Source organism: Homo sapiens, chromosome 5 (genome assembly GCF_000001405.40).
Source record: "Homo sapiens chromosome 5, GRCh38.p14 Primary Assembly".
Taxonomy (NCBI): Eukaryota; Metazoa; Chordata; class Mammalia; order Primates; family Hominidae; genus Homo; species Homo sapiens.
The window spans coordinates 128,711,867-128,736,142 of NC_000005.10; the positions used below are offsets into that span (position 1 = coordinate 128,711,867).

General features: G+C 39.3%; 1 long non-coding RNA gene across 1 annotated transcript in view; it reads left to right on the plus strand.

Annotated features, from left to right (window-relative positions):
* Positions 1 to 24,276, plus strand: part of LOC105379168 (uncharacterized) — a 273,909-nt gene that overhangs the window by 50,010 nt on the left and 199,623 nt on the right. Inside the window, exons 3-4 of the long non-coding RNA XR_001742460.1 lie at positions 1,633 to 1,748; positions 16,588 to 16,709. This is a non-coding gene — a long non-coding RNA (uncharacterized LOC105379168). The remainder of the gene's footprint in view (positions 1 to 1,632; positions 1,749 to 16,587; positions 16,710 to 24,276) is intronic.

The following is a 24,276-nucleotide window of genomic DNA, read 5'->3' on the forward strand; positions in this document are numbered from 1 at the left end:
CCACCTCAGCCTTGTGAGTACCTGAGGTCACAGGCATATATCACCATATTTGGCTAATTCCTTTTTATTTTTTGTAGAGATGAGAATTCCCAATGTAATCACTCAGGCTGGTCTCAAACTCCTGGGCTCAAGCGATCCTCCCCCCTTGGCCTCCCAAAGTGTTGGCATTACAGGCATGAGCTGCTATACCCAGCCTGTATCAGGATTTCCAAGAGAGTGTCTGGTCAACCATTCTAGTCTCACTGATATTTGCTGGATTAATTGCCAGTATATTGTTCTAAATAGCTTCTTAAGTACTTATTTGTAGATATTTACTTAATGAACAGGCCTTTACATCGGTGATATGGACCAGTCATTTAAGGTCAATCAAATTGAAAATAGGAATGACAATAACAGTACCTATCTTATACTCATAGGATTATTATGACAATCAAATAAGTTAATATTTGTTAATTTCTTAGAGCAGAGTCTAGCACATGGCAAATGCTAGACAAGTATTGTTTAAGTAATAAATAAAAATTTGAAATACAATATAAAAACAATTAGCTGACTTCTTAACAGTGGTAGAAATAATAGAATCATACATTCAAAGTTGTGAGGCCAGACACAGTGTCTCACGCCTGTAATCCCAGCACCTTGGGAGGCCGAGATGGGCAGATCAACTGAGGTCAGGGGTTCAAGACCAGGTTGGCCAACATGGCAAAACCCCATCACTACTAAAAATACACACACACACACAAAATTAGCCAAGAATGGTGACACTTACTTGTAATCCCAGCTGCTTGGGAGGCTAAGGCAGGAGAATCACTTGAACCCAGGAGGTGAAGGTGGTATTGAGCCTAGAGTATGCCACTGCACTCTAGCCAGGGCAACAGAGTGAGACTCTGTCTCAAAACAAAACAAAACAAAACAAAACAAAATCCCAAAAAACAAAGTGTGAAAGAAGATAACTAGCCACTTAGAATCGTGCAGCAGAGGTCGGGTGCGGTGGCTCATGCCTGTAATCCCAGCACTTTGGGAGGCCAAGGTGGGAAGATCACAAGGTCAGAAGGTCGAGACCACCCTGGCCAATATGGTGAAACCCCGTCTCTACTAAAAATACAAAAATTAGCTGGGCGTGGTGGCAGGTGCCTGTAGTCCCAGCTACTCAGGAGGCTGAGGCAGGAGAATTGCTTGAACCCAGGAGGTGGAGGTTGCAGTGAGCCAAGAAGCTATCCATCTTCTGAAGCCTTCCACCTCATCTAAGAGCATCCTCTTACACTCTTGCTTTGAAATCTGGCTGTTTCTTGGTGATCTTGCTTCCTCTTTGTCCTTCTCCAATGGTGGGCATTTTCTTTGCCACACCCCTTATACCACCAGGCTTGGAGATTGGGTAGCTGTTTTCTTAGATCATCACCATTACTTCTGGATCATTTTTTCTTTCTCATCCACAAACTCCTCTATCTTTGAATTTTAGGTCATCAGATTAAATTTTACTACTGAATCAAGTGCAGTTATATATAGTTCCTTGCCCAGGGATATATCCCTTTATTCCTTGAAGATTTTAGCTCCTGGCTTGCTGTCTACAGGTTCCTATAAACATCAAGCCCAAATTTCAGTTGATTAATATAATCATTTTTTTTTTTTTCTCAGAGTTAATTCGAAGGTGATGGGGAGGACAGAGGCTGTACTCCACGTGGTCATTCAGGTATTCAGGCTGATGGAGGCTCTGTTAAATTCACACCATGGCTTCTAACATTATTCTGGAGGTCAGTGTCTTACTGGAATATGTGAAAGGAGAGAGTATAGGATCAAGACAAACGTTTTTCTGAGGCAGGCAGGGAGGGTGGGAAAGGTAGTCTGATGAGAGTGCCAGGAGTAAAGGAGTGAGTTAGTGAATAGCGGTTCTTTAGGCACCGGCTATCAGTTTTGTTCTTTCCCCCATCCACTGATACCTCCTAGAAAAAGATAACCTGAAGCTCCCCTCATTCAGTGCACCCACTTCAAAGGTCAGGATCTCCAGCTACTACATGGCACATTGCTACTCATGTAAACATGGATCTTGAAATCTGTAAGCTAGAGAGAGGTTTATGGTTCATGCCCTTTCAGCCTGCTCTCCAACACTCATGCACACACACACAATACATAATAGTGGAGCAGGGACAAGATAATAAAAATTCAAATTTCTACTTTGAAAATGAAAATGCATAACAAGGACAAAAGCCCACAGGGTAATCCCTGTCAAAACCTTCTAGTCCTGTTGAATGAAGTTCCTTGATTAGACCTGATTCTGTTCTCTGGCAGAAACTCTTTTGTTCATAGTTCTCTGTGACCTCTAGTTCTACCTTCTGGGAGGTTTGTCCTTGCCTATTGTCTTCCATGGCCATTACTGAAGTCATTTTGGGGGCATGTGGCATCGGGGCTGTAAAGCTTTTGCAGCCTACTCCATTCTGGCATAAATTTGGGATCCCTAGTCTTGTTTTGTTGTTCAAACATTCAAAGCCTTTTTTAGTTGACGTTTGTCATTTCTTTGGCAATACAACTCCCAGGAAAATTTAGTAGACTATGAATTAATTTGATTTCATTAGTTTTATGTGTCAGTGAACATATGCTCATCCTTTCCCAGACATAATACACAAGCCTGGTATCTTTGCTTCCTTGCCCCCAAGCCTGTCCTGCAACAGAATGGCCTATCATGAAGCCATTACTTTACACAGAAGGCCATACCCTTAATCTGATCATTGCCCCAGAGCTGAGTCTTTTTTTTTTTTTATTTCATTTCATTTCTTTCTTTTTTTTGTAGAGATGGCATCTCCGTATGTTGCCCAGGCTTGTCTTCAACTCCTGGGCTCAAGGAATCCTCCTGCCTTGGCCTACCAAAGTGCTGGGATTACAGGTGTGAGCCATTAACACCCAGCCAACAGAGCTGAGTCTTAATGAGGCTTTGTTGTTCAAAGGCTTTTCATTGTTTGGAGTTTGTAGCAATGGACTTTCCTAGCATTTGAGGCCTCAGATCTCTTTCTACTCTCTCTTCCCTTTAATAATTGCTTTGAAACTGCCAATTCTTGCCTAAGCCTAATTGTTTCTTTTGAAATATTGCTAAATGCATCCAGTAAAAATCAACACAAACCTCTAACATTTTTCTGACCTTCTCCCCTAGAGCCAAAGGTTCAAACGCAGTTGATCTGCTTTTGAAGCAATAGAAAATGTCAGGTTTTTTTGTTTTGTTTTGTTTTTGAGACAGAGTTTCACTCTTTTTGCTCAGGCTGGAGTGCAATGGCGCGATCTTGGCTCACCGCAACCTCCGCCTCACGGATTCAAGCGATTCTCCTGCCTTAGCCTCCTGAATATCTGGGATTACAGGCATGTGCCACCACGCCCGGCTAATTTTGTATTTTTAGTAGAGACGGGGTTTCTCCATGTTGGTCAAACTGGTCTCTAACTCCCAACCTCAGGTGATCCGCCCGCTTCGGCCTCCCGAAGTGCTGGGATTACAGGTGTAAACCATCGCGCCCGGCCCGAAAATGTCAGTTTTTAAAATGTTTTGTCACTGCATAGCAAAGGCTTCCATCTTTCTGGCATCCAGCATTCATCACTGTCACATGACCATGAAGCCGATGCCACATGTTTCTACTGTGATCTGGACCCCACTACTGCTCTCCTAACTCACTGAACTCCAGTCACACTGACCACCTGTGCTTTTCAGTACTCCAGGCACTCTCCTGTTTTGGAGCTTTTGTCTTTGCTGTTATCTCTCCGGGAGGAACATTCCCTCCTCCCAGTATTTACTTGCTGGTCCTCTCCTGCAAGTCTTTACTCAGGGTTAACTATTTTGTGAGGACTTCCATAGTGACTCTATTTTCAAACCATTCAATCATTCTTTTATTGCTTATTTTTTCTCCATTCGGGCCAGTGTGACACCTTTGAATTGGCTTCCATGAACTTTTGATATGACTCCATTGATTTTGGAAAGCTTTATTTCTGGTACAAAAATGTGTCCCAGGCTCACAGTTGTAAAATTAGTTATTTCTCTAAATTGCCTGGTCTCCTAGAGAATGAAGATATAGATCAAAATCTTGGTGTTACGGGTACTCATTGCTACTGGGCTGACATAACTTTGAGACTAGCAGAAGACAATTAATTTCAGTATAAGAGATTGTTTTAAAATTAGTTATTAATTTTTTGAATAGTAATGAATTTTCATGATTCAAAAGTTAAAAGTGTGTAGAAACATATACACAGGGTTTTGCTCCTATTCCTGCCCCCCTCTATTCTATTTCCCTGCCCTCTATAGGTAACTATATTGATGAGTTTCTTTATACCATACTTATCCTTTTTTACCTTACTCTGTAACCCTGCCCCTACAGGTAAATAATTTTATTAGTTTCTTGTTTATCCTTCCATTGCTTCATTTCACAAACACATATATGTACACATTCTCTTCTTTCTTCCTCAGAATGTGGCACTTTTCTGCACCTAAGTATATTTTCTTAAGAACATAGGCAGTCAATCTCTGTATATCAATGCATGAAGATCTTCCTTTTAAAAAACTGTATATTATTGCACTGAGTGGCTGCATCATAATTTCTTCAACTAATTATTTCTTGTGGGCTACTTGGGTTAGTTTCGATCTTTTTCTCTTATAATTATGTTGCAGTGAAGGCATCTGTACATATGTGATTTTACATTCATATTGTATCACTGGGATAGATTCTTGGAAATGGGATTTCTGGGTCAAAGATATATCTGAAATTTTTTTAGAGACTGCCAAATATTTTTGCATTGGGGTGGTGTCATTTTCTTTCCTCCACTAATATAAACTTTCAGATTTTTGCCAAGTTGATAAGTAAAAAATGGTAATTTTGTATAGTTTTACAGTTGTCTCCTGGTACTTTTGGGGGATGGGTTCCATGATGCCTGTGGATATTAAAATACTTGGATGCTCAATTCCATGGTGTAAACTGATGTAGTATTTGCATAGAACCAACACACTTCCTCCCATCCTCTTACACTTTCATACACTTTGCACACTTTAAATTATCTCTCGATTACTTATAGTACCCACTACAATGTAAATGGAGCATTTACATTGTATATAATTGTATACATTGCATATAATAAATAATTATTAGAAAGTATTGTGTTTTAAATGTGCAATATTTTTATTGTTGCACTATATTCTTATTTTTTATTTTTTTTCCCAAATATTTTCCATCTACGGTTGGTTAAATCTGTGGATGTAGAAACCACAGATATGGAGGGCTGACTATACATTTTCATTAACATGAGTGAGATTGAACATAATTTAACCTGTTTAAGGGGTATATTTTGTGTGGATGATCTCTCTGTTCATATCTTTTCCTTGTAATTCTATCAGGGTTTTTTTGTCTTTTCTTGATTTCTAGTAGGTAGCTCTTTACATATTGGGAAAATTTACATTCATCTGTGATAGGTGTTGCAAGTTTTTCTGAAGTTTGTTAGTTGTCTTGCAATTTCTTATGATTCTTTCTTCTCTGGCTCTCATTTTTTATTTTATGTATTCTCATTTTTCAGTCTTTTATGGTCTTCGGATTTCACGTCATGCTCAGAAAACTCTTCTCTGGTTGAAAGTAATAAGAAAGTTCACTCATGTTTTCATATAATATTTATATGGTTTTCTTTAAAAAATGTATTCCTTTATTCTTTTTGGAGCTTTTCCTAGAGTGTGCAGAGAGGTATCGGAACAACTTTGTCTCTCTCCAGATGGCTATTCAGTTGTCTCAGTACCAGTTATTAAAATGTGCATCTGTAGCCTATTGATATGAAAAGCTTGATTTATCATATTCTTATTTCCCATAGGTATTTGAATCTATTTCTAAAATTTCTATTCTGTTTCATTGGTCTACTTGGTAATTCACACTCAATTCAGTACTGTTTTAATTATTGATATGTTATAGTATGTCTTAGTATCTGGAGAGGCTAGTCCTCTACATTGTTCTTTTTCAGACTTTTTCTGGTTACTATTATTTGTGTATTTTTAATGTAAGCTTTAGAATAAAACTTCCAGGTTTCAGGAAAAATTCTTTTAGTATTTTTATTGGATCCTGAGCCACTTTTTATTATAACATATTTGAACTAAGATGGTTAGGCTGAGTATTCACGTCTCAGTTCTTGTACTTTAGAACTGCTTAAAAACAGAGACTTCTCTGATTTAAATCCAAAAATAATAATCATATAAAACGGATCTTTACTCAAGGCACTGTATATTTCTGGTACCTATGACTCCAGGTTTTTCAATTTATAGATGTAAAATCTTTCTGGAAGCTTTGCCAGTGGTGGTCACTTCCAGGCAAGGAGTTCACTTTGCAAGGTCACTTTGACTGCCTTTTTTTCCCAACACTCTATACAATTCCAAGTTTTATGCTTTTTAAAGTAAAGCTATTTTCTCCTAAAATGATTAAAAGTGCTCTAGGGAAGAACCACTGGTTTGGAGGTCTGTATACAATTGTATAATTTCTGGCTCAAGTAATTTCTAGTTTGCCTGGAATTTTAACAATAGTCCTGAGGTTTTGCACATTGAACAGACTTTGAGCTCCTCAGCCTAGGAGTCTTTGGTGACTCCTAGTCACCAAAGGAATGCTTTGAATATTCCTGAGAGATCTGGACCTGTGAGTACTTGTGGAAAATACATTTGTCTCTCTAAAAAGATTCCACCCTAAAATTTAAGTTGCATATTTTTAGAGAAATTACTTGAAAATAAACAAAATACTAATGTACCAACACAGTGCTATCCAAAAAAAGAACAGAAAAAAGTCCAGCGATACAGGAGGTAAAGCTCTCGTAATAACTATACTTCACTCACACTGCACATATATAATTTTTGTGATTACTAGCTGCACTATTAAATAGGGTACCTTAATAGACATTATGTGCAATGTGGGTGAACTTGAGTTTATTATAACAATTCTAACTCATACATTTCCTGACGTCTGTGGTATTTTACGCAGTTATAGTGAATGTTATTTTCCTTATGGTATTTTCTTAAATGAAAGAAAAAAATGCAGAAACTTAAAAAGAGTGGCCAATGTCTAATTATGTTTATATGTAAAAGATTTATGGAAGTCTCAATACTTATTTTTGTGTATGATCTGACTTCAGGCCATTATTATTAAATCATTTATTCAGCACCTTTGTTGAGGTCCTTCTCCATATCAGGCAATGAGGCAGGCCCCAGGGATACAAAGATAAAGATAATAAAATTCCCACTATTGACAAACTGAGAAGCAGAATTTTGAGGAGTCCTGGGAATATAAGAAATACTTGTAAGACAATATGAAGAAAACTCTTCAAGTACTTTCATTTATTTATAACAACCCAATACCTTAACTACTATTGTAACCTCAATTTTACAGATGAGGACCTTGATGGAATTGGAAAAGTTAGCTATAATATGGAGGTGAGTTCAAAGCATTAGAGGCGCACAGAAGATACTTGGGAAATAAATGGTGTGTGGTGGTCAGACTAGTCTTTTTGGAAAGAAGACTTTGCTAGAGTCCTAATGATAAATCCTATGGGATCTGTGCTAGGCAGTACGGTAGAGAGAAGACATTCGATAAAGAAACACGTAGACTACAGGGCAAGCATCACATGTTGATGGACTGGATATGGTTGGGTTTAAAATAAATAAGATAGTTCTTTGTTTTGTGCTTAGATACTTTGTAAGATGAAGTGATTGATGGAGATTGTAGCTACAGAAGGTGAAATAGGTAAGGAAAAGAAGATAAGTTTGCTTGTATAAATTACAATTGAGTTTTTCTAATTTATGATTTATAAGTTTGCAGGCATTTTGCCTTTTCATTGGATATTTTCTTTGTTTATAGGAAAAGAATCATATAATTTCGAATACTTTTATTTCTTTTAACCAAACTTAAAAAATCCTTAAAGAGGCTGGTCATGGTGGCTCACACCTGTAATCCCAGCAATCTGGGAGGCCGAGGCAGGTGGATCACTTGAGGTCAGGAGTTTGAGACCATCCTGGCCAACATGGTGAAACCCCGTCTCTACTAAAAATACAAAAATTAGCCAGGCCTGATGGCGGGAGGCTGTAATCCCAGCTACTTGGGAGGCTGAGGCAGGAGAATCGCTTGAACCCTGGAGGTGGAGGTTACAGTGAGCCAAGATTGCACAACTGCACCCCGGCCTGGGCGACAGAGTGAAACTCCGCCTATAAACAAAAACGAAAACAAAAAAAAACTCCTTAAAGAGTATCTAGATTCAAGGTAAGAATAAGGCAGTTGCAACAGGACTTTAAGGTAGACTCCTCTGTCTCTGTAGCATAAAGGGCAGTGGAAGTACACACTTTCTCCTTGTTTCACTTTTCCTGATCCAGAGTCATTATTTTGCACACCCTCACTCCTGCACCAAGCAGCCTCAAGAGTGCTAGAAATCCCACCTCTTTCCCTGCAGTTGGTGTGCATACAGAGGCCTTCTCCTCTGTCCAGCAGCTTGGGTGGGCAGTGTTGTGGCACGGTGGGTCAGTCACTCATGCAAACCTTCGATCTAGTCATGCTGTGCAGCAGCTACTATGCCTGGGTCTAGGAGGTAGATAACGCAGCAACTCTCAACTGATTTGGAGCCTAAAGCAACAGGGCTTGATGAAGATTTGCTGAAATCTTGGTGCATCAATTTTAAACTTAACTCCCACTGGAATTGGCTTGATGTTACCATGACTAAAAGTTTTAAAGAGGAATACCAACATAATTCCATGGCACAGAGTATATATACATCTTAGTGGTCATTTAATAAAAGTTAGGCGCCTGAGACCCAGATTAGCAGATACTTCTTGGTGTTCTCCAATCCTGTGTTTTCTTCTACCTGGTACACAGCTAGGCTATATTTTCAGTCTTTCTTCTAGTGGCGTGTAGTCATCTCATAGGTCCTCACTGATGGAAATGAAGGAAGAAATGTGTGTCCTTGAAGAAGTAGACGTGCCTTCTCCAGGCTCCCTTTGTCTATTGTCTGGTTGCATATAAATGACCATGAGGTTCCAGGAGATGGCAGATCCCCAAGATGGAAGGAGACTATTTCCGGATTATTGTGTGGAGAGCCACCTGCTCACAAGGAATATCAGAAGAAGGGCACTTATCTTAGGGACCCAGAAACTCTTGAGAAAATGTTATTTACATTAAGAACTTAAATTGAAGAGTTAACCTCCGCAGACTGAATGATCTAAGTGAACTGTAAATTAAGTTTGCACTTATCTACAAAAAATTAAAAAAAAAAAACTTCATGAGAGATATTTTTAAGTCACTTTAAGAGGGGATGTGGTTTAAAATCAATAAAGTTGACAAATACCCTTCATGAAATTTCTGAATGGTACACCAATAGTAGCCCATGAATAGTCAACTGAAATAACATTTAATGAAAAATAAGTATTTAAAAATGCATGTATTAGTGATAATCACTTTCCCGTCACAGGTCTCTTCTATTCCATTCATTTATTCAACATTTTTTATTAAATGGCAGACACTGTATTATCTCTAGGATATACTTGTAAATAAGACAGAGTTGCTGTTTTTATAGAACCTACATCAAAAAGAGAGAGAGAGTACACAAATCATCACATAAATGGAGATAAAAGGATAATTTGGGATTAGTTTGAAGGAAAAGGACCAAGAGGTATAAGGTACTGCAAGGGTTACTGATCAAATTTGGGAGGTGGTGAGGAAGTGCTTCCCTGAGGGAAAGTGACATTTCAATTGTGATCTGACAGATGAGCAAAAGTTAATATGATGAGAAAAGTGTTCCACAGCCTGTTGGAAAGGCCTGAGCAAAGAGGAAGAAAGAGCAAGTTAGTATATCAGAGAAGTGGAGCAGTGCACTTGGGAGAGGGAGTGAGGCCAGAACAGGGTGATGCAAAGCGATCTCAAGAATTTTCAGCCGGATGTGATGGCTCATGTCTATAATCCCAGCATTTTGGGAAGCCAAGGTTGGTGGATCACTTGAGGTCAGCAGTTTGAGATCAGCTTGGCCAACATGGCAAAACCCCGTCTCTACTAAAAATTCAACAATTAGCCAGGCGTGGTCATGCACACCTGTAGTCCCAGCTACTTGGGAGGCTGAGGCAGGAGAATCGCTTGAACCTGGGAGGTGAAGGTTGAAGGGAGCCGAGATGGTGCCACTGCACTCTAGCCTGGGTGACAGAGCGAGACTCCATCTCAAAAAAAAAAAAAAATTTTTTTTTTGTGCTTTATGAAAGATCAGTAGGATGTCACTGAGTATTTAAAGCAAAGTGCCCACAGGGTTCCATTTATTATTGTTGCTTTGAAAAGTGCATTCTGTTTCTAGTGTGGACAAGGATTGGAAGGAATTAGAGTAGATTGTGGGGAGCCCAATGACGAGACCATGCAGCTCTTCAGGAAAGCAAGGTGATGGCTATGTCAGGGGTAGGCAGTGAAGATGGAGAAACGTAGATAGGTTAAGAAGGTATTTTTAAAGTTAAAGCAACCAGGAGTGGCATGGAAATAATATTTTAGAGGGTTCATTTAAAAAACTCTAATTTATTGCCTAAAATTCATGGGAAAACACTAATAGAAATACAAAATGCCTTCCAAGATCTTGGCACTCCATTCCATCAATTTGTTCACTTTCCTCTCAATGTTTCTACATTATTTCTGCATGTGTGTATCTTAGATATTTTCTAGACTTTCTACTTGTCTGTCTTCAATAAAAAATGATTTCTCCAAGTAACATAAAACTATAGTTCTTTAAAATTAATTGAAAACTTTACAGTAGTTTTCTTAGCGTAAAGCAGATATAGTTTAAAGCTCAGAAAGGGGATTCTGGATTTAGTAAGGAAGGATCTTGGAATAATGTATTCCAGATGAAAACACAGTAAGATTGGAAAGCCCAAGTCCCTGAGGACTCCTACTTCTCAGTTCCCTTTCTATCCACCCCCCATCTTTGTCTTTCAACTGTGCAACTGGTGAATTCCTTTAAAATTCCAGAATTTCTATTGCTTTTCCTGTATTTTCTCAGCACTCTCAAGTGAGAAAATATTCTACTGTTACCACCTCCTTCCACTCCCATACCCAAACTGCACCTACACCTCCTGAACACCCATCTTTTAAAAATTCACTTGCCAAAACCCTGGGTTCATATCCCGTGTCTCACATTATTATATGTCTTCCCATTTGTGAACATTTTCTTCCAATTAATTCTATTTAAATAATTTCATTAGGTCTTTTTCATTTTGGAAGATTATTTGTTTACTAATTGGGGATGGGTACTAAGAAGTAAATCATCCATGGAGAAAATTTTTAAAGTTTATTGGGAAAAGGTTATCAGATAGTAGAACAGCTATGAGATTGGAATGAAGTAAGTTCAGCTACAAATAATTTTAGCAAGGTAAATGTAAGTCACAGAATTTGAGCAGGGATTTCTGGAGGTGGACATAGAATCAATAAAATAACCTAAATTGGGTCATTATTCTCCCCAGCAGTTTTTGACTTTAATGGTTTCATCAGATCAAAATTCTACCACGTAGAAAGCAGAAGTGCTTACCTGCCTTACTTTTAGGAAAATGAAAAATTTAGTATTATTTTGCAATTTCTTGACAGCAGAAAATTGTAGATGGACAATATATATATGTGGGTGATTTCATCAGTGCAACAACAACTTAGACCACTTCTTTCTTTCTTTCTTTTCTTTTTCTTTTTGAGATGGAGTCTCTCTCTGTCTCCCAGGCTGGAGTGCAGTGGCGTGATCTCGGCTCACTGCAAGCTCCGCCTCTTCTAATCAATATAAAATTAGGAGACTATGCATTTTAACAACGGCAATTTGTCTTAAGGGAGCAGATTGAAATAGAGGGAAAAATGTAAGGTGATTAAATGCATTGCTTGCATCCCTTTCTCCCTCCCCAGCAGGGTGATGTGCATGTTGCATTGGAGAGGCAGAGGAAGCCATTGTGTACCTGATATGGTTGGGCTGTGTCCCCACCCAAATCTCATCTTGAATTGTAGTTCCCATAATCCCCACATGTCCTGTGAGGGGTCTGGTGGGAAGTGATTGGAGCATGGGGGCTGTTTCCCCCATGCTGTTCTCGTGAGAATGAGTGAGTCTCATGAGATCTGATGGTTTTATAAGCGTCTGGCATTTCCCCTGCTTGCGTTTGTTGTCTCTCCTGCTGCCCTGTGAAGAGGTGCCTTCTGCCATGATTATGAATTTCCTGAGGCCTCCCCAGCCATGTGGAACTGTGAAGCAATTAAACCTCTTTTCTTTATAAATTACCCAGTCTTGGGTATTTCTTCATAGCAGCATAAGAACGGACTAATATAGTGCCTCAGCAGAAAGGTGTGTTGGTTACAGCTGTGGCATTGAAGAAGAGCAGACTGTAAGACACTCTGCAGCTGTCATCTCACTTGGCTAACATCGGGTCATAAGCAGCCTAACACAAGCTCTTTGTTGATTAAGAAAAAGCATTTCTATGGGTCTTATTTTGAATTACTTTCCAAAAATTCCATTATGAATTCATTGTTTGTTATTCAAAAAGTATTTTACCGCAAACCATGTTACAATTTAATATATATAATTATAGTTCCACTGGGTTTCATTTTTAAAGGATTTTAGCTTCACCCAATGACTCAGTGAAACATTCTTTTCATGGCAAGACAATCTAATTTGGAAGAAGAGAAATATATGCACCCCTTCTTGGCAGACTGCTTACAGGCAAAGGAAGCAATGGCTGCTGTAGGGAAAGTGAGCAAATGATGTTGCTCTAGAGGTCATCTGGGTGCTCATGTCTTCCTTCTGCCCAATTCTCAGGAGCATTAGTCCTGGAGCTAGTGCTTGTGGGTCAACAGAAGATTCAACTAAATCACTATAAAAGTGAAGGTCCAGAGTAAGGTAGACACTTCCCATGACCAGAATTATTAATTTGCAGTAAAGAAAATACTTTTTTTCTTTTTAAAAAGGGAAGGTTGCTTTTTTCAGATTTACATAAAAGTAAAAAAAACCCTACCTGTAATCACAGCACTTTGGGTGGCTAAGGTGGGAGGATCAGTTGAGACCAGGAGTTCAAGACCAGCCTGGGCAACATGGTAAGACCCTGTCTCTTCTAAAGAATTAAAAAAATATTATCCTGGCCTGGTGGTACACATCTTTAGTCTCAGGAGGCTGAGGCAGGAGGATCACTGAGCCCAGCAGTTTGAGGTTACAGTGAACCGTGATTGCACCACTGCACTTCAGCATGGACAACAAAGCAAGAACCTGTCTCTAAAGCAAATAAACAAACAAAAAAGTAAATAAACTCCTATTTAAGTAACTCTTAACCCAGATGCTGTAAAATAAGAAATATTGTGTGTGTGGGAGTAAGAGTAAGCCTGGAGAATGGATTCCATTTCTACTGTTTGTTTGTAGAAACCATGATTATGGGGCTATGGGGCTGTAATTCTCTCTGAGATTTGAGAAGAGAGACATAAATATAAATAATAAATATATCTTCTTATATTTATTGAATATATAAATTCAATATTGAATTTACGTTCAAATTCAATAGGCAGCAGTGTGCAGGAGACATACTTAAATAGTTTGCATACTGTATTAGTCTGTTTTCGTGCTGCTGATAAAGACATACATGAGACTAGGTAATTTATAAAGAAAAAGAGGTTTCATGAATTCACAATTCCACGTGGCTGGGGAGGCCTCATAATCATGGCAGAAGGCAAAAGGCATATTTACATGGTGGCAGGGAACAGAAAGAATGAGAGCCAAGTGAAAGGGGAACCCTCTTACGAAACCATCAGATCTTGTGAGAGTTATCCACTACCATGAGAACAGAATCTTCTACCAGATACACTAAATCATCTCTCTCAAGTTCAAAGTTCCACAAATCTCTAGAGCAGGGGCAAAATGCCATCAGTCTCTTTGCTAAAACACAGCAAGACTCACCTTTATTCCAGTTCCCAACAAGGTCCTCATCTCCATCTGAGACCACCTCAGCCTGGATTTCATTGTCCATATCATTATCAGCATTTTGGTCAAAGCCATTCAACAAGTCTCCAAACTTTCCCACATGTTTCTGTATTCTTCTGAGCCCTCCAAAGTGTTCCAACCTCTGCCTGTTATCCAGTTCCAAAGCTGCTTCAACATTATTGGGTATCTTTACAGCAGCATCCCCACTCTACTGGTACCAATTTACTGTATTAGTCTGTTTTCATGCTGCTGATATAGACATACATGAAACTGAGTAATTTATAAAGAAAAAGAGATTTAATAAACTCACAGTTCCACATGGCTGGAGTGGCCTCACAATCATGGTGGAAGGCAAAAGGCATGTCTTACATGCCTCACAATCATGGTGGAAGGCAAAAAGCAGGGAACAGAGAGAACGAGAGCTATGCAAAAGGGATTTCTCCTTATAAAGCCATCAGATGTCTTGAGACGTACTACCACAAGAATAGTACAGGAGAAATCACCCCCGTGATTCAATTATCTCCCCCCGGGTCCTTTCCACACATGTGAGAATTATGAGAGCAACAATTCAAGATAAGATTTGGGTGGGGACACAGCCAAACCATATCACAAAAACATGCAAACACATCTTAGTTGAATAAACCTTGCAAAACCCCGTACACCAAATGCCTTGCTTAAGCCTGCCTTCTGTCCCATGGTCACGCATTCACTGCAGTGAGGATATTGATAGGTTTCTGTAAAGATGACATGAACTTTGGGATAGATTTTGTAATAAAGCTGCCTTCTAGATGTCCAATTTCTAAATCTGCACTAACTTGTTTTCAGAATATAAAATGTATTATTATAATTTAAATTTTACAGTCATATTTTTGAAAGAAAAGGTTTTTAAAAATTTTAGTTCTATTTCAATCTGAAAAAGTAAAACAGTTCATAACACAAAAACAAAGATGCTGTAACAGTGTCAGAAGAATAGTCTTTAACACATATTGAGATTTATGTGTATATTTCTGACTAGTTCTCTAAAACCACACTAATAAAGGGTTCGATCTTTTGATGATGATAATAAAACTATTTTATCCATAAGATATACACTAAAGTGAATATAATTAATAGATTCATTATCTTTTATTAAATCATTTATATTCATATTTTCTTCCCTACCCAAGCAGAATCCTTTAGAACACATTCCACATTAGTTTACTTTTACACCACCTACAACTTAAATTAGGGTAAATTATCAAATAATATTAGTTGAAGAAATTCATTTATTTTTACCCTGATTCTGGCTCCCTTTTATGTGTTTGTGGTATGGCTAACAGTCTGTGGACCTTAAAATATCTTAGAGAAAATGACAAATTAGAAAATCCTTTAGACATTTTCAACAACATCTTTCTCCTTAAAATTTTGCACTCAGGAGGATTTCTTCCTACAATTTTCTACTTTTTCTTCAAATTAAGCATTTATATTCACTCCAAATTCTTTTCTATTTGACAATAGATGTAAGTTGATAAATAACTGTAACCTTTTATAAAGCAGGCTTTAACTTTATATATAACAAATACATATTAAAGTCCATCCACATTTGGGTCAGCAATATGTCTTCTTGATTTCTGTCTTAAAAAGAAATAACCAGTCAACCATGCAATTTGCTTTCATAATTTTGCCCACAACACAGCTGTTCTTCATTAGTACATATATTTTCCGATCAGGGTAAATTTCCAGATAGTAATAATTTTTTTAAAATTAGCTTTTTCTTCTCTGGGCTTAAATAAAAATGATTTTCAGACATTGTTACAAGCTGATGATCTTTCATCAATTTCTTTAACCAAACTTAAACTTTTGAGAATGTCTAAGGGTTTACTTTGTCATCAAGTCAAAACCAACAATGTAGGTGTTATCTTTATCCCAGAAATCATGTCATAGTGAACCAAGATGGCCTTGTATATGTATAGTATAAGAACTAAGTATAAGATGACATGCCAGGAACAGGTTGGCTTTCTAGAGCTTTGTCCAGTCACCTTCTGAACAAAAGCAGATGAACTTTCTTGTTATCATAAAGCCTTGGTCCCAATCAAAAGGCAAATAGCCCAGTGAGGATGGTACTTAAAATTATCAGCCATTTTTACTTTTGTGTAATAGAGAAAAACAAGTTTTAAGACATCTGTAGAAAGAAGAGACTACAAAGACTGAACAACTGAAAAGAGGCAAAAGGTAGCATAGAAAGCAAAAAAAAAAAAAAAAAAAAAGAAAAAAAAGGACCTAGTAAGAGAAAATTGTGGCCAAAGATAAATGTCAAAGACTGTCTCTGGTATCAGCTACAGTTATGTTACTAAGATCTATCCACCGTACTCATTCTAGTTACCACATTCTACAATAAGTTGATAAGTTAAGTAGTAGTCTTTTCTAGGAGTAATACAAAAGATTCTCTTTACTTAAAACCCTAGAGTTCAGAAATTAAAAATGAAGAAGAACAAATGAAAGCCATAGTTCTAATGCAGAAGTTGGGAGCAGAGTCCCAGTGTATATTAATTGTGTGGTATGTAAAATGGTTTCGAGGAACAACTGTAGAATAATGAAAAGGACTATGATGAATATATTCTCCTATTGGGATGAAGCGTATGTATTGCAGAAATAAACGCCAATATTTTTTCCATACAGGGATTAATTACATGGTCAACAGCTGGAATTTACAAGGAGGCAAATTAAATAAAATAGCAGACAAGCATGAACTGCATTCCCACAAAAGCCATAAAATGGGAATACCAAGAGAACTGGCAAATGTAAGTCTTCACCTGTTTTCTTGGACACAGCTTTCCACACACAAGTTGGGGAGTGGAAATTTGTGAGTAGCACACTGTGTGCCACATTGGAAAGATTCAATATGAACATTTTTTCTTTTTTTATTATTATTTTACTTTAAGTTCCAGGATACATGTGCAGAATGTGCAGGTTTGTTACATAGTTATACGTGTGCCATGATGGTTTGCTGCACCTATCAACCCATCACCTAGGTTTCAAGCCCCACATGCGTTAGCTATTTGCCCTGATGCTCTCCCTCCTCTTGCTCCCCTCCCAATAGGCCCCAGTGTGTGTTGTTCCCCTCCCTGTGTCCATGTGTTCCCATTGTTCAACTCACACTTATGAGTGAGAACATCAGGTGTTTGGTTTTCTGTTCCTGTGTAACTTGGCTGAGGATAATGGCTTCCAGCTTCATCCATGTCCCTGCAAAGGAAACGATCTCATTCCTTTTTATGGCTTCATAGTAGTCCATGGTGTATATGTATCACATTTTCTTTATGCAGTCTATCATTGGTGGGCATTTGGGTTGGTTCCATGTCTTTTCTATTGTAAATAGTGCTGCAATAAACATATGTGTGCATGTATATTTATAATAGAATTATTTATATTCCTTTGGGTATATGCCCAGTAATGGGATTGCTGGATTAAATGGCATTTCTGGTTCTAGATCCTTGCAGAATTGCCACACTGTCTTCCACAATGGTTGAACCAATTCACATTCCCACCAACAGTGTAAAAGTGTTTCTATTTCTCCACAGTCTTGCCAGTATCTGTTGTTTTTTGAGTTTTTAATAATTGCCATTCAAATCTCTGAGTAGAACAATAACGAGTTCTGAAATTGAGGCAGTAATAAATAGCCTACGAACCAAAAAAAAGCCCATGACCAGACGGAGTCACAGCCGACTTCTACCAGAGGTACAAAGGGGAGCTGGTACCATTTCTTCTGAAACTATTCCAAACAACTGAAAAGGGGGGATTCCTCCCTAATTCATTTTATGAGGCCAGTATCATCCTGATACCAAAACCTGGCAGACACACAACAAAAAAAGAAAACTTCAGGACAATATTCCTGATGAACATCAATGTGAAAATCCTCAATAAAATCCTGGCAAACCAAATCTAGCAGCACATTAAAAAGCACATCCATCACAATCAATTCGGGTTCATCCCTGGGATGCAAGGCTGGTTCAACATACACAAATCAATAAACATAATCCATCACATAAACAGGACCAATGACAAAAACCACACAATCATCTCAATAGATACAGAAAAGGCCTCCAGTAAAATTCAACATTTCTTCATGTTAAGAACTCTCAATAAACTAGGTATTGAAATAATCAAAATAATAAGAGCTATTTATGACAAACCCACAATATTAAAATAATAAGAGCTATTTATGACAAAACCACAGCCAATATCATACAAAATGGGCAAAAGCTGGAAGCATTCCCTTTGAAAAGCAGCATAAGACAAGGATGCCCTCTCTTACCCCTTCTATTCAATATAGTATTGGAAGTGCTGGCCAGGGCAATCAGGCAAGAGACAGAAATAAAGAGTACTCAAATAGGAAGAGAGGAAGTCAAATTGTCTGTTTGCAGATGACATCATGCAACTTCGGCAAAATCAACGTCCAAAAATCACAAGCATTCCTATACACCAACAATAGGCAAGCAGAGAGCCAAATCATGAGTGACCTCCCATTCACAATTGTTACAAAGAGAATAAAATACCTAGGAATACAGCTAACAAGGGGTGTGAAGGACCTCTTCAAAAAGAACTATAAACCACTGCTCAAAGAAATAAGAGAGGACACAAAGAAATGAAAAACATTCCATGCTCATGGATAGGAAGAATCAATATCATGGAAATGGCCATACTGCCCAAATTAATTTATAGATTCAATGCTATTCCCATCAAACTACCATTGACATTCTTCACAGAATTAGAAAAAACTACTTTGAAATTCATATGGAACCAAAAAAGAGGCTGTATAGCCAAGACAATTCTAAGCAAAAAGAACAAAGCTGGAGGCATCATGCTACCTGACTTCAAACTATACTATAAGGCTACAGTAACCAAAACAGCATGGTACTGGTACCAAAACAGATATATAGACCAATGGAACAGAACAGAGGCCTCAGAAATAATGCCACACATCTGCAACCATCTGATCTTTGACAAACCTGACAAAAACAAGCAATATGGAAAGGACTCCCTATTTTTAATAAATGGTGCTGGGAAAATTGGACATAGGCAGAAAACTTAAACTGGATGCCTTCTTTACACCTCATACAAAAATTAACTCAAGATGGACTTAAAGACTTAAATATAAAACCCCAAATCATAAAAACCGTAGAAAAAAACCTAGGCAATACCATTCAGGATACAGGCATGGGCAAAGATTTTATGAAGAAATTGCCAAAAGCAATTGCAACAAAAGCTAAAATTGACAAATTGGATCTAATTAAAGAGCTTCTGCACAGCAAAAGAAACTATCATCAGAATGAAAAGGCAACCTACAGAATGGGAGAAAATTTTTGCAATCTACCCATCTGACAAAGGTCTATTATCCAGAATTTACAAGGTACTTAAGCAAATTTACCAGAAAAAAAACAAACAACACCATCAAAAAGTGGGCAAAGGATATAAACAGACACTTTTCGATATCAACAATTTTATGCAACTATTTTTAAAAACCTGTGCCTCAGGATAAGAATGTTTCTAATGTACTTGAACTTGAGTGAGGACACCTGCCCAACAATTTCCTCTTAAAGAAGTGGCTGGAGCTAAAGGCATAGTCAAGGTTAATACTCCTTTTTCTTTATCCGAACTCTCCCAAATCAGTTAGCGTTTAGGCTCTTTTTCATCAAATATGAAAATCCAGCCCAGTTCATGGCCCGTTTGGCAACAACCCTTAGACACTTTACAGCCCTAGACCCTGAAGGGTCAGAAGGCCGTCTTATTCTCAATATGCATTTTATTACCCAATCTGCTCTCAACATTAAATAAAGGTCCAAAAATTAAATTCTGGCCCTCAAACCCCACAACAGGACTTAATTAACCTCGACTTCAAGATGTGCAATAATAGAGAAGAGTTGCAATTACTTGTCTCTGCTGTGAGAGAAACCCCAGCCACATCTCCAGCACAAAAGAACTTCAAAATGCCTAAACCACAGCGGTCAGGTGTTCCTTCAGGACTTCCTCCCCCAGGATCTTGCTTCAAGTGCCAGAAATCTGGCCACTGGGCCAAGGGATGCCTGCAGCCCAGGATTCCTCCTAAGCCATGTCCCATCTGTGTGGGATCCCACTGGAAATTGGACTGTCCAACTGGCCCAAGGCTCTGACTCCTTCCCAGATCTTCTCGGCTTAGCGGCTGAAGACTGACTCTGCCTGATTGCTTCGGAATCCTCCTGGACCATCACAGACGCTTTGGGTAACTCTTAACAGTGGAGGATAAGTCCATCCCCTTCTTAATCAATATGGAACCTACCCACTCCAAATTACCTTCTTTTCCAGGGGCTGTTTCCCTTGCCTCCATAACTGTTGTGTGTATTGATGGCCAGGCTTCTAAACCTCTTAAAACTCCCCAACTCTGGTGCCAACTTGGACAGTATTCTTTTATGCACTCCTTTTTAGTTATCCCCACCTGCCCAGTTCCCTTATTAGGCTGAGACATTTTAACTAAATTATCTGCTTCCCTGACTATTCCTAGGCTACAGCCACACCTCATTGCTGCCCTTTTCCCCAGTTCAAAGCCTCCTTCACATCCTCCCCTTGTATCTCCCCACCTTAATCCACAAGTATAGGACACCTCTACTCCCTCCTTGGCAACCAATCGTGCACCCCTTACCATCCCATTAAAACCTAATCACCCTTACCACGCTCGACATCGCCAATATCCCACCCTATAGCACGCTTTAAAAGAATTAAAGCCTGTTATCACTCGCCTGTTACAGCATGGCCTTTTAAAGCCTATAAACCCTCCTTACAATTCCCCCATTTCACCTGTCCTAAAACCAGACAAGCCTTACAGGTTAGTTCAGGATCTGCGCCTTATCAACCAAATTGTTTTGCCTATCCACCCCATGGTGCCAAACCCATATACTGTCCTATCCTCAATACCTCCCTCCACAGCCCATTATTCTGTTCTAGATAAACCTAGCTGACCCCGTAAATCCTTTCGCCATTCCCCTTTCCATTCCTTAAAAAACAGTCCTAAAAGCTGCTCCCACACTAGCTCTCCCTAACTCATCCCAACCTTTTTCATTACACACAGCCAAAGTGCAGGGCTGTCTGGTCGGAATTCTTACCAGCCCTGTGGCCTTTCTGTCCAAACAACTTGACCTTACACTTTTAGCCTAGCCCTCATGTCTGTGTGTGGCAGCTGCCGGTGCTTTAATACTTTTAGAGGCCCTCAAAATCACAAACTATGCTCAACTCACTCTGTACAGTTCTCATAACTTCCAAAATCTATTTTCTTCCTCACACCTGACGCATATACTTTCTGCTCCCCGGCTCCTTCAGCTATACTCACTCTTTGTTGAGTCTACCACAATTACCATTGTTCCTGGCCCGGACTTCAATCTGGTCTCCCACATTATTCCGGATACCATACCTGACCCCCATGACTATATGTCTCTGATCCACCTGACATTCACTCCATTTCCCCATATTTCCTTCTTTCCTGTTCCTCACCCTAATCACACTTGGTTTATTGATGGCAGTTCCACCAGGCCTAATTGCCACTCACCAGCAAAGACAGGCTATGCTATAGTACCTTCCACATGTATCACTGAGGCTACTGCTCTGCCCCCTCCTCCACTACCTCTCAGCAAGCTGAACTCATTGCCTTAACTCGGGCCTTCACTCTTGCAAAGAGACTACATGTCAATATTTATACTGACTCTAAATATGCCTTCTATATCCTGCACCAGTATGCTGTTAATATGGGCAAAAAGAGGTTTCCTCATTACACAAGTGTCCTCCATCATTAAAGCCTCTTTAATGAAAACTCTTCTCAAGGCCACTTCCAAAGGAAGCTGGAGTCATTCACTGTAAAGGCCATCAAAAGGCATCAGATCCCATCACTCAGGGCAATGCTTATGCTGGTAAGGTAGCTAAAAAGCAGCTAGCGTTCCAACTTCTGTCCCTCACAGCCAGTTTTTCTCCTTCTCATTGGTCACTCCCACCTACTTTCCCACTGAAACTTCCACCTATCAATCTCTTCCCACACAAGGCAAATGGTTCTTGGACCAATGAAAATATCTCCTTCCAGCCTCACAGGCCCATTCTGTTCTGTCGATATTTCGTAACCTCTTCCATGTAGGTTACAAGCCGCTAGCCCGTCTCTTAGCACCTCTCATTTCCTTTCCATCATGGAAATCTATTCTTAAGGAAATCACTTCTCGGTGTTCCATCTGCTATTCTACTACTTCTCCAGGGATTGTTCAGGCCCTCTCGCTTCCCTACACATCAAGCTCAGGGATTTGCCTCTGCCAAGGACTGACAAATTGACTTTACTCACATGCCCCAAGTCCGGAAACTAAAATATCTCTTGGTCTGGGTAGACACTTTCACTGGATGGTTAGAGGCCTTTCCCACAGGGTCTGAGAAGGCCACCACGATCATTTCTTCCGTTCTGTCAGACATAATTCCTTGGTTTGGCCTTCCCACCTCTATACAGTCCAATAATAGACTGGCCTTTACTAGTCAAATCACACAAGCAATTTCTCAGGCTCTTGGTATTCAGTGGAACCTTCATACCCCTTACCGTCCTCAATCTTCAGGAAAAGTAAAACAGACTAATGGTCTTTTAAAGGTACACCTCACCAAGCTCAGCCTCCAACTTAAAAAGGACTGGACAGTACTTTTACCACTTGCCCTTCTCAGAATTCGGGCCTGTCCTCGGATTGCTACAGGGTACAGCCCATTTGAGCTCATGTATGGACACTCCTTTTTATTAGGCCCCACTCTCATTCCAGACACCAGCCCAACTTGAACTGCACCCCAAAAACTTGTCATCCCTACTATCTTCTGTCCAGTCATACTCCTATTCACCATTCAAAACTACTCATAAATACCCTGCCCTTGTTTACACTGCTGGTTTACACTTTCCTTCAAACCATCATAACTGATATCTCCTGGTTTTACCTAAAACCGCCACCCTTAAGTCTCTCTTAAAGTGGACAGATAATCTTTGCTGACAGGGTACACTCCAATACTTTCACGCTGGTGAAGTCCTATTCTTAACTTTTATACTCACTCTTATTCTTGTTCCTGTTCTTATGCCATCCTCTACCTCTCCCCAGCTATCTCCACCACACTATCAATCTCTCTCACTCTCTCCTAGCCATTTCTAATACTTCTTTAATAAACAATTTGGCTTTGCATTTCTCTTTTCTCCAAAATCGCCGAGGCCTCAACTTACTCACTGCAAACAAAACAAAACAAAACAAAACAAAACAAAAAAACAAAAAAACACTGTATATTTTTAAATGAAGAGTGTTGTTTTTCTGCTATATGACAACATAAAAGAACTCAAGGATAGAGCCCAAAAACTCACCAACCAAGCAAATAATTATGCTGAACCCCCTTGGGCACTCTCTAATTGGATGTCCTAGATCCTCCCAATTCTTAGTCCTTCAATACCTGTTTTTCTCCTTCTCTTATTTGGACCTTGTGTCTTCCGTTTAGTTTCTCAATTCATAAAAAACCACATCCAGGCCATCACCAATCATTCTGTACAACAAATGATCCTTCTAATAACCCCACAATATCACCCCTTACCCCAAAATCTTTCTTTAGTTTAATCTCTCCCACTCTAGGTTCCCATGCTGCCCCTAATCCCACTCGAAGCAGCCCTGAGAAACATCGCCCATTATCTCTCCATACCACCCCCCAAAATTTTCACTGCCCCAACACTTCAATGGTATTTTATGTTATTTTTCTTATTAATATAAGAAGACAGGAATGTCAGGCCTCTGAGTCCAAGCTAAGCCATCATATCCCCTGTGACCTGCACGTACACATCCAGATGGCCTGAAGCAAGTGAAGAATCACAAAAGAAGTGAAAATGGCTGGTTCCTGCCTTAACTGATGACAATCCACCATTGTGATTTGTTCCTGCCCCACCTTAACTGAGCCATTACCTTGTGAAATTCCTTCTCCTGGCTCAGAACCTCCCCCATTGAGCATCTTGTGACCCCCGCCCCTGCCACTAAGAGAAAAACCCTGTTTGACTGTAATTTTCCACCACCCACCCAAATCCTATAAAATGGCCCCACCCCATCTCCCTTTGTTGACTCACTTTTTGGACTCAGCCCGCCTGCACCCAGGTGATTAAAAAGCTTTATTGCTCACACAAAGCCTGTTTGGTGGTCTCTTCACATGGTCGCACGTGAAAACATCCTTGGCTATGTTGAAGAATGTAAAAAGTACATGCTGAGTTAGTTCACACCACATATTTGTCTACTTCAAAATTTGCAAAGGTAGAGTCCTAACGCTTCATGTGGTCAGCCAGAAAGGAGCAGTGATGGAAAGAAAACC